Source organism: Homo sapiens, chromosome 3, assembly GCF_000001405.40.
Source record: "Homo sapiens chromosome 3, GRCh38.p14 Primary Assembly".
Lineage (NCBI taxonomy): Eukaryota > Metazoa > Chordata > Mammalia > Primates > Hominidae > Homo > Homo sapiens.
The window spans coordinates 38176818-38188949 of record NC_000003.12 but is presented as its reverse complement, the minus strand read 5'-3'; the positions used below and the strand labels follow the sequence as shown (position 1 = coordinate 38188949).

Below are 12132 nucleotides of genomic sequence, written 5' to 3'. Positions count from 1 at the left end.
ATCAACATGGGGAGTCCTCATGAAACTTACAGTTTGGTAAAGAAGTTAGACAAATACTACTTTACAATACAGAATAATAAACAGCTTGACAGGGGAAGTACTAGACACTACATGATTTCATTGGAGAGGCACATTAAAAAATAGGAGTCATAACATGGAAGGCTTGGAAGTTTCCTGCATTAACACTGCAACAGGAAAGGTAAGTAGGTTTTTAAGATTGTTGATTGTTTAATTACCTGGGACTAGATCATAAAGGACTTTGAAAGTATATTTAAAAATCAGGCTTCATCCTAACAGCAACGGAAAGATATCAAAGGTTTAACTATATTATACATTTTCATAAATTACCCTTGGATACCACATAGAAAATCAATGAAGAAGACAAGACTGGAGACAAAGCTTCTGTTTAAGCTGTTGCCACCATGTGAGTGAGAGATGATGGAGAAATGATAAACAGCTAATTTATCAGTTCTGATTACTGTACTACAGTTATATTAATATTAGCGCAAGTTGGGTGGATAGCATAAGGAAACTCTGTACTACTTTTGCAATTCTTCTGTAAGTTTTAAGCTATTTCAAAAGAAAAGGTTAAAAAAGTTAGTGACAGTATGAATGAAAAGGGAAGAGTCGAGATAATAATAGAGAGGTACAAACAATAGGATTTGGTGACTAACTGATAGGGAAGGTGAAGGAAAGAAAAATCACATGAGAGAGTGACAATGTAAAGAGTTAGGGTCAAATTGTGGAAGGTCTTAAATGTTAAGCTAAGGGTTTTGAGCTTTAATCTGAAAAGGGGAGTACTACAAAGGGTTTTCTAGCAAAAGACTATCAAAAAAACACAAAATCCAAAGATGAAAAGGGGCTTAAATATTCTTTTTCTTGCCTTCTATTCCTTTAAAGGGGGAAGGGGGAATCTTCTTGTACCTTAACTACCAGTAGAGTTATCCTTTCCTCCTTTCAAAAAGAAAAATAAATATATAAATGATTCACAAGAGTGGTATATGAATACTGACTTAAATTACCCAGCAGCTTCCTCAACCACCTATAAAGTGAATTCCTTTATAGGCCAGGTACAGTGGCTCACACCTATAATCCCAGCACTTTGGGAGGCCGAGGTAGGAGGATCCCTTAAGCCCAGGAGTTTGAGACCAGCCTGGGCAACAGAGTGAGACTCCGCCTCTATTTAAAAAATAAATTAATAAAATAAATAAATAAAGTGAATTCCACCCCTTCTAATGAAACTGCTTTCTTGAAAATCTTTTATTGTCTGCTAGAGCCAGATTTTTTGTTTGAACTATTTAGTTCTCCACCTCAAGCTTTCTGAAGCCTTTTTTTTCTAATGGTAACTTTTTATTCCTTCGTGAAACTCACTCACCATCATTTCTACCATTACTTTCTGGTTTTCTAATTCCCTAAATGTAGTCAGTTTTCCTCCATTTCACACACCCAAATAATGTTAATTTATTCATTCATTCATATAGGATAAACAAAATAAAGTCTCTGCCTTAACTGAGTGCTCATTCTACTACTAATGTATTTTCCATCCAGGAAATCTGTGTTTTCCTTTCCATTACCACCATCACTGCCTGAATTTAGAGTCTCGATATCTCTGTATAGCACAGTGTACCTCAAACTATGTGTTGTAATCTATGTGGGTCATGAAATAAATTTAGTGGATTGTATTTTAAAAAGATGAATAAATAGGATAGAAAATGAGAGTATATTCTATATAATATGAAAATGTTTCAGTTATAATATTTATGAATATATATCTTTAAATACCAGGTAATGATAGAATGTATCTCTCTTAGTGAGGGTCTTATTTTCAAAGTTTTATAAAGTTGTTGGTCTAGACCACAGCAAAGCCTACCAACTAGTCTCTTTGCCACTGATGTCTTACTCCTTTGCAATTCACTTTGCCAAATATTACAGAACTAATCTACTAGGATGGCTATGACAAAAAAAGATGAACAATAACAAGTATTGGTGAGGATATAGAGAAACTGAAAAGCTCATATATTGCTGGTGGGAATGTAAAATGGTACGGCTACTTTGGAAAATAGCTTGGCAGTTTTTCAAAAAGTTAAACACAGAGTTACCATATTACCCAGCAATTCCACTCTTAGGTATATACTCAAGATAATAAAACACAAATGTACATATGAAGACTTGCACACAGATGTTCATCACAATATTACTGATAAAAGCCAAGAAGTAGAAACAGCCCAAATGCCCAACAACTGATGAAAGGACAAACAATATGTGGTATATCTATATAATGGACTGTTATTCACCAATAAAAAAGGAAAAAAGAACTGATACATGCTACAATATGGATGAACTTTGGAAACATGCTAAATGAAAGCCAGACACAAAAGGCCACATATTGTATGAACCTATTTATATGAAATGTCCAGAATAGGCAAATCTATGCAGACAGACAGTAGATTAGTGATTGCCTAGGGCTGAGGGGAGGAAAGAATAAAGAATGAGTGGTCATGGGTATGGAGTTTCTTTTTGGGGTGATAGTGGTGATGGTTGCACAACTTTGCGAATAAACTAAAAACCATAGCATTATATATTTTTAAAGGGTAGATTTATGATACATGAATTTTATATCAATAAAGCTGTTATGTTTTAAAAAGTATTATAAAACTAAACTTCCTAAAACTCAGTTCTAATGAAGTCATTTCCCTTTAAAAAAAAAATCTTCAAAGACACTTGCCTCTATTTCTGTAGCTAATCAATATTTCCTATCAAATAAAATCCTAATTTTTTCACTTATTATTTCTTCTTTATGGTTTCTAGGCTGTCTACTATTCTTTCCTGATTTTAAACCCCTGCCAAGCAGACTTGCTATCTATGCCTGTTTAAAGTCTACACAGCCCTGGTGGCCCAGGCCACAAACATTTCCACAAAGTCCTCCATTTTCACAATTAGAAGCTCTCTTCCTCCCCTTTCTTTCACATGACTTTTTTTTTTTTTTTTTTTTTTTTTTTTTTTGAGACAGGGCCTCACTCTGTGTCACCCAGGCTGGCATGCAGTGGCATGAACGTGACTCACTGCAGCATCAACATCCTGGGCTCAAGCAATCTTGCCACCTCAGCCTCCCAAGTAGCTGCAATAACAGGTGCATACCACCATGCCAAGCTAATTTTTTATTTTTCATTTTAGAGATGGGGTCTCACCACGTTGCCCCGGCTAACCTCGAACTCCTAGCCTCAAGTGATCCTCCTGCCTCAGCCTCCCAAAGTGGTGGGATTACAGGCGTGAGCAACCACCCCTAGCAGCAGGTTCTTAAATATTGGATTTTATTTTAAATCTTGCATTATATAAGTTTTGTGCCGTTTCTTGTTTGTTTTTTGAGACAGAGTCTTGCTCTGTCACCCAAGCTGGAGTGCAGTGGCACAATCTTGGCCCACTGCAACCTCTGCCTCCCAGGTTCAAGTGATTCTTGTGCCTTGGCCTCCTGAGTAACTGGAATTACAGGCGTGCACCACCACATTCAACTAATTTTTGATTGTTTTAATAGAGACAGGGTTTTGCCATGTTGGCCAAGCTGGTCTCAAACTCCTTGGCTCAAGTGATCCACCCGCCTTGGCCTCCCAAAGTGGTGGGATTACAGGCGTAAGCCACTGTGCCTGGCCCTGTGCAGAGTTTTTACTTAGTTTGTTATAACTGTGATTTGGATTTATCCATGTTGGTGTTGCCTATGGTTGTCTTTGTGTCGCTTTAGTGAGAGATTTCCAAATGGATTTAAATGTAATGAAGACAAATTCTGTCGAATTATATAGTTATATGTGTAAGTCGTATTCAATTTTTTTTTCAGAGATGGAGTCTTACTCTGTTGCCCAGGCTGGAATGCAATGGTGCGATCAATGTTCAAGCAATGGTAGGAGAATTGCTTGAACCTGGGAGGCGGAGGTCAGAGTGAGCCGAGATCGCGCCACTGCATTCCAGCCTGGGAGACAGAGCGAGACTCCATCTCAAAGAAACCCAAAAAAAAAAAAAAAAAAAAAAAAAAAAAAAAAAAAAAAAAAAAAAAAGAAATGTTCTTTCTACTTTTGAACTAAGATTATAATCATTTTGTTAGTACTATACTAAGCAGACAATAATAGACTTAAGTCAGAAAGACCTGATTTTTAATCCAGACTCTATCACTTATTATATGATTTACTTCCTTCATCTAGAAAACAGCTACTACTTAGCTCATGGAGATGTGTGTGAGGTTAAAGTACACTGAAGTACCTAGCACTGAAAGATGTTTGCTATTATCATCAAGTGAACTTAAGTTATTTAAACTTTGAGCCTCAGCTTAATCATGAAGCAGTAAATAATAAGACTTTCATTCATTTTACTCTATCCTTATGGATTAACTAACTGGCAAATTATAGGTCTTCATATTGGACTTCCCAAATTCTAGTCTTAATATGTAGGTTAACATTTTTGTTTTTCTTTAACAGAATTAGTTCGCAGTTTATCGACTTCTTTTATCATCACTGCAGTTCAAGTGTCCAAATGGTGCTCTAAAGTATTATTGTATGTATCAATCCAAGATCTTAAAATAAGATTTCGATCAGCATTTCCTTCGAAGTATGCATTCTCTCACCAAAGATGGCTCAAGATCATTCCAGCAGCCCACTCCTTCAGCTCCTGCTCGTACATTACCAATTCCTAAAGAAATACATTTGTCTCGTCCATCTCATATATAATTATATATTATGCAATATATAATTCCATTACCTCTTTTTCTTTAATTCCAATTATTCCCTAATACTCAGTACAGACACCACCAGAAATAAAATACAATTTGGGACAGTGAAAAAAACTTCTGGATGGGCAGGTCATTCCAGTTCTAATACCCGACCTTTCTAGCACTAGCTGTATATGCTCTTAAAGAAATTACTTAATAAAGTAACAATATTAGTTCACATTTGTATGGCAGTTTAGAGTCTTCAAATACTGTATCATTTGAGCCTCAAGAAAAACCTCAAAAGGTATCCAAAGCAAGTATTATTATTTTCATTAAGCCAAAGAAACTGAAAATTTTGAAACAATAATAAGTAATTTTAAAAACTAATTTCCCTTGCTGAGCACTTACTATATACTTAAAACTATTCTGGGTAGCACAATGCCTAAAAAAAATACAATACAATCCCTGTATGGTTACATTTTAATGTCACAGAACATTCTTACAGCTATTGCTTGGGACTTCCCTTTCTTCTTCCTTTCCCTAGCCTTTGAAGAAGCTAATGCTGCCTGGGGGTCATTCTATCTCTTGTCTTATATCCAGCATTAGAATGAAAGTTTAAAAGGCCAGAGCCTTTCAAAGGATATTCCACTTGACCCAGGAATCACAATTCCATGGTATTATTTTAAGGGAATAGAAAAGCAAGCATTGTTTATAACAATAAAAAAGAGGAAACAAAGTAATTAGCAAATATCATAGTTAATAAAGTGTGGTCTATTCAACAGAATACTATAAACACACTGTAAATGATACTGATCCATATTTACAGACACAGAAAAAGTTCTATGATAAATTATTAAATGAAAAGAGCAAGAATCTGACTACATTATCATAAAAATACAAATATATTCAAATGTTCACTCTGAAAGGTTACATATTAAATGTTAGTCTCAGAGTAAGAATATTATAACTAATTTTTTTCTACTTATCCAGACTTTATAAATTTTACAATGAATATTATTTATTAATGAAGAAATCATAAACTTTTTTAAAAAGAAACAAATCAAAAACTTCAAGTTATTTCCCATTGTAATGTGAATATATGAGTATATCTCTCCATTTCAGAAGTATAAGATGTGCATACCAGGAGTTCATCCATGCTAGTTTGACATTTCTCAAGGTTTATCCGTTTGATTGCCACTTTCTCCTTTTTAGGGGCACAATAAGCTGCTTGGACTACAGCAGTTGCTCCACTCCCTAAAAACAAATACATAAAAGAGTAAATAAGTAGATGGATATATAAAAACATGACATTTCTAATTCCCATACAATTTAAACAAGAGTAATCCTTATCTTGTTCCTACAGCGCATAACAGATAGAGAAAAATGCTCTAAAGAGTGTCAGTTAAAACAAAAGCCTCAACCATTTCATATGTACTGCCAATAAATACCAGTGCAAAAAAAATATCTAAACTGCTAGTATTCCAGTTCCAGGATACAATGGCATAGGCTCACATTTCCTCACTCCTCTCCTCCAAATACAACTAAATAGCCTAAAAATAATTCAACAAACAATCATAAGAGGGCTCTGAAAGGTAGAAAAGAGAGAGGTAGACTAGTTAGGGATCTCAAGACTTCAAGAAAACACCACAGTAAGTTCACTGGGTTTTCCCTTTATCTCCCAAATATCCCAGACTGGACACCAGAGAGGCTTGTAAACTGGAATGAACACCAAAAATGGATGGATAAGGCAGATAAAGACAAATAAATAAATGAGAAAACTCTGCTCTCTCTGGCCAACAGTCTATGAAAGGGGCAGCTCAGCAGAGACCTAGCAGAGAGATACATTTTCCAGTCCCCATCCAGGACAGTGGTGAACCCAGTCCTCCCCAGCATCAGCAGGGTCTCCACACTATGCCTGAAACAGTAGCAGGCCAGATTCTCCACAGCGCCAGCCAGGTGTCTACCCCACACGTGCGGCAATGTCAAGCCAATCTGCCCTTAGCAGCAGCAAAGCCAGGGCCCCACATCCACAGGTCAGCCCAGGCAGCTGCAGAGATAGAACGGGAGTTCTAGAGGTGCCAGAAGAATAAAACAGAAAAAAATAGCATTCCAAGAGATCTGAAAACTGAATTACCATAGGATTACAGCTCACAAAAGTAGGACAAGAGCTATACACTAAACTTAAATAGGGTAACTACCTATTAAAAGAGAAGAATTAAATAGGATCAAGAGTCTCAGCCAGGTGCAGTGGCATGCACCTGTAATCCTAGCTAATCAGGAGGCTGAGGCAAGAGGATCATCTAAGGCCAGGAGTTAGAGACCAGCCTGGGAAACATAGCAAGAACCTGTCTCATTAAAGAAAAATAAAACAAAAAAAGTCTCCTAACATAATAACCTAAATGTCCAAGGTACAATAAAAAAAAAAAAATGACATGTCATACCAAGAACCAGGAAAAGCACACGTGAATGAGAAAAGAAAAAAGATGACCACACGATCGTACTGATGCCAACACCAAGATAAATCAGATGTTGGAATTACCTGACAAGAATTTTAAAGCAGCCGTCATAAAAGTGCTTCTACAAACGACTACAAAATCTTTTGAAACAGGCCGGGCATGGTGGCTCACGCCTGTAATCCCAGCACTTTGGGAGGCAGGCGGATCACGAGGTCAGGAGATCGCGACCATCTTGGCCAACATGGTTTAAAACCCCATCTCTACTAAAAATACAAAAATTAGCTGGGTGTGGTGGTGGGTGCCTGTAATCCCAGCTACTCGGGAGGCTGAGGCACGAGAATGACTTGAACCTGGGAGGCGGAGGTTGCAGTGAGCTGAGATTGCACCCTTGCACTCCAGCCTGGGTGACAGAGTGAGACTCTGTCTCAAAAAAAAAAAAAAAAAAACTTTTGAAACAAATAAAAAACAGAAAATCTCAGCAAAGAAGTAGAACTTACTTTTTAAAGTACCACATGGAAATTATACAACTGAAACATACAATTATCAAAATAAAACATTTGCTGGACAGACTCAATAGCAGAGTGGAAATGACAGAAGATAAATTTGGTGAACTTGAAGACAAGATTAACAGTTTGCTCTATCTAAACAACAGAGAGAAAACAGACTAGGGAAAAAAAAAAAAAGAACAAAGCCTTAGGGAATGGTGGGATAATGATAAAAGATCTAAAATCCATGCGTTAGGTAGAATAACGGGCCTCCCAAAAATGTACATCTTAATCCCCAAAGCCTGTGAATGTTACCATATGTGGCAAAAAAGGACTTTGCAGATGTTAAGGATCTTGAGATGGGAAGATTATCCTAAATTGTCTGGGTGGGCCCAATGTAATCATAAGGGACCTCGTAAGTGAAAGAGGGAAGCAGGAGGGTCAGTCAGAGGAGATGAGACAATGGAAGTAGTCAGAGTTATAGCCAGGCACAGTGGCTCATGCCTATAATCCCAGCACTTTGGGAGGCCAAGGTGAGCAGATCGCCTGAGTCCAGAAGTTCAAGACCAGCCTGGGCGACATGGCAAAACCCTGTCTCTACAAAAAATACAAAAATAATTAGCTGGGCGTGGTGGTGTGCACTTATAGTCCTAGCTACTTGGGAGGCTGAGGTGGGAGATCATTTGAGCCTGGGAGGCAGAGGTTGCAGTGAGCCAAGAACACGCCACTGCACTCCAGCCTGGGAGACACAGTGATACTCTGTCTCAAAAAAAAAAAAAAAAAAAAAAAAGTTGGAGCTATACAGACATGAGCCAGGGAGCAAATACGGACACATGCCTAAAAACACTGTTTGCATTATGAAAACATACTAAGGGATGCCAGGCACAAAAGTCTGTATATAGTATGATTCCAGTTATATGAAATACCAAGATTATAAAAATCCATTGAAGCAGAAAGTAGATTAGTGGTTACCAGGGTCTGAAGAGGGAGAAATGGGGAGTACAGCTAATGAGTACAGTTGACCCATGAACAATGTGAACTTGAACTGCACGAGTCCACTTAAAGATTTTTTCCGCCAGGAACAGTGTTTCACGCCTGTAATCCCAGCACTTTAGGCGGCTGAGGCTGGTGGATCACTTGAAACCAGAGTTCGAGACCAGGCTGGCCAACATGGAGAAACCCTGCCTCTACTAAAAATACAAAAATCAGGCTGGGCACAGTGGCTCACGCCTGTAATCCCAACACTTTGGGAAGCCAAGGTGGGCAGATCACAGGGGGTCAGGAGATCAACACCATCTGGCCAACATAGTGAAACCCTGTCTCTACTAAAAATACAAAAATTAGCCGGGCATGGGGGCACACGCCTGTAGTCCCTGCTACTTGGGAGGGTGAAGCAGGAGAATCACTTGAACCCGGAAGGTGGAGGTTACAGTGAGCTGAGATTGCGCCACTTTCCTCCAGCCTGGGCAACAGAGCAAGATTCTATTTTGGGGAAAAAAAAAAAAAAGATTATTTCCAATCAAATGCAGATGGAAAATACAGTATTCACAGGATGAGAAACTCACATATATGGAGGGCTGACTTTTCACACAATGAGGGTCCTGCAGGACTAACTGCAGGACTTGAGTATGCATGAATTTGGGTATACTTGAGTATGCATGAATTTGGGAGTCCTGGAACCAGTCCCCCACATATACTGAGGGACAATTGTACATTGTTTCTTTTGGAGTTATGAAAACATTCTGGAATTAATGGTGATGGTTGTACAACTCTGTAAGTATGCTGAATTGTACACTTTAAAAGGATAAATTTTATGGTGTGTGAATTATATCTCAATAAAGCTGTTATAGGCCAGAAATAATGACTCACGCCTGTAGTCCTAACACTTTGGGAGGCCAAGGCGGGAGGACTGCTTGAGTCCAGGAATTCGAGACCCGCATGGGCAACATGGCAAGACCCTGTCTATGAAAAATAAAAAAATTAGCCAGGCCAGGGCGGGAGCTCATGTCTGTAATCCCAGCACTTCGGGAGGCCAAGGTGGATGGATCGCTTGAGCCCAAGAGTTCAAGATCAGCCTGGGCAATATAGTGGGACTCCGTCCCTACAAAAATACAAAATTTACCCAGGCGTTATGGCACACATGTGTAGTCCCAGCTACTAGGGAGCGTGAGGTAGGAGGATCGCTTGAGCCTGGGAGGTTGAGGCTGCAGTGAGCTGTGGTCATGCCACTGCACTCCATCCTGGATGACAAAGCAGGACCCTGTCTCAAAAAAAAAAAAAAAAAAAAGCCAGGTGTGGTGGTGCACGTCTGTAGTCCCACCTAGTATAGAGCCTGAGGTGGGGAGGATCACTTGAGCCTGGGAGTCTGAGGCTGCAGTGGGCCATGATCACACCACTGCACTCCAGCCTGAATGACAGAGAGAGACTCCATCTCAAAAGTAAAAGAAAATAAAATAAAGCTGTTATTTAAAAATCCTTTCAAGTGTGCCAACACATTTCTAATACTAATGTGCTACAAACATTAAAAATTTAACATGAGGCCGGGTATGGTGGCTCATGCCTATAGACCTAGCACTTCAGGAGGTCATGGCAGGCAGATCACTTGAGCTCAGGAGTTTGAGACCAGCCAGGGCCACATGGTGAAACCTCATCTCTACAAAAAATACAAAAAAAGAAAAAAAAAAAAAAAAAAAAATATATATATATATATATAGCTGGATATGGTGATGCAGGCCTGCAGTCCCAGCTACTTGGGAGGCTGAGGCAGGAGAATCGCTTGAACCCAGGAGGCAGAGGTTGTAGTGAGCCGAGACCACCCCACCACACTCCGCCTGGGTGACAGAGCAAGACTCTTGTCTCCAAAATAAAAAATATACATATATGATTTACACATATAACTATATAATTCGACAGAATTTGTTTGTTACATTTAAATCCATTTGAAAATCTCTCAATAAACACAACCATAGGCAACACCAACATGGATAAATACAACCATACATACAACACCAACATGAATAAATCCAAATCACAGTTCTGACAAACTAAGTAAAAACTCTGCACGGGGCTGGGCACAGTGGCTCACACCTGTAATCCCAGCACTTTGGGAGGCCGAGGTGGGCAGGTCACTTGAGCCAAGGAGTTCGAGACCAGCCTGGCCAACATGGCGAATCCCTGTCTCTATTAAAACAATACAAAAATTAGCTGGGTGTCGTCGCACACATCTGTAATCCCCGTTACTCAGGAGGCCGAGACACAAGAATTGCTTGAAGCTGGGAGGCAGAGGTTGCAGTGAGCTGAGATTGCACCACTGCCCTCCAGCCTGGGCAACAGAACAAGGCTCTGTCTCAAAAACCAAACAAACAAGTAATGGCACAAAACTCACATAATGCAAAATTTAAAATAAAATCCAATATTTAAGAACACACTTCTGGGGGTTGTGGCTCACATGTGTAATCTCAGCACTTTGGGAAGCTGAGGCAGGAGGATCATTTGGGGCCAGGAGTTCAAGACCAGCCTGGGCAACATGGCAAGACCCCGTCTCTAAAATGAAAAATAAAAAAATTAGCCAGGCATGGTGGTGCACACCTGTAGTCCCAGCTACTGGGGAGGCTGAGATGGGAAGATTGCTTGGGCCCAGGAGGTCAATGCTGCAGTGAGCCATGTTCACACCACTGCACTCCAGCCTGGGTGAAAGAGTGAGACCTTGCCTAAAAAAACAAAAAAGAAAGAAAGAGAACGAAAGGAAGGAAATCAAAAAGAAAAGAAAAGAACATATTTAGCATTCAATAACATCATCCCCTAGTGTACATAAACAATTTTGACAACAGTTTAGGAACATTAACTTATTACTTGATAAAAATCATTCAACAGGCTACTATTGAAATAGTTTGCAGTTGATCTGCTTCTTGGCTGAGCTCCCTTTGTTATGTGTGTAAGACAGAGAGGCAGAATGGTAGTGTTTGCCATTAAGTTCCCTCCCTCTCAGATCCCATCCTCTCTTAATTATTTCTGCATAGAAGCCCTGAAGAAAGTTTAACTGCTTTCTCTTGCCTTCAGTGAGAGGCCACTGGCTGACTCTTGGAAACACCACGGAATAGGAGAAGGAAGCTAATCATGCTGGTCACAAATCTACAAGAAAGGCATTTCTCAAGTCACAGGAGACATAACATGGCCTCTGCAAGGTACCTTTGGTCCCAGATAACAGACATCTTCTAATATGCAGATGTGTTCACTGATTCTTTGCAATATTTTTACAAATGTACTATCCAGTGGTGTTCTTTTTAACCAGTATTAGTTCTCAAAGCAGCTATTCTACCCCTGGATAATCTAACACTGATTGATTTATCTTATATACATAAAACCTGAAATATATTAATAGCATGTCCTATGTAAACCAAAACCATGCTGGGGTTAAAAATGTAGATAAAGAAATGTTTGATTTTAACTTTAGTTATTATTTTCTAGTCATCAGTAAACACAGAATCAATTTCACTAA

The 12132-nt window shown here is 39.1% G+C and overlaps 1 protein-coding gene across 6 annotated transcripts in view; it reads right to left on the bottom strand.

Annotated features, from left to right (window-relative positions):
* The window catches only part of OXSR1 (oxidative stress responsive kinase 1), a 91422-nt gene that overhangs the window by 66535 nt on the left and 12755 nt on the right, over window positions 1-12132 (bottom strand). For all 6 annotated transcript variants that reach the window (XR_007095781.1, XM_011534331.3, XM_017007601.2 and 3 more), the window contains exon 2: window positions 5835-5947. Coding sequence is in view for 5 of the 6 variants with exons in the window: in XM_011534331.3 (XP_011532633.1) it covers window positions 5835-5947 (113 nt within the window). In the remaining variant the exon portion in view is untranslated. The remainder of the gene's footprint in view (window positions 1-5834; window positions 5948-12132) is intronic.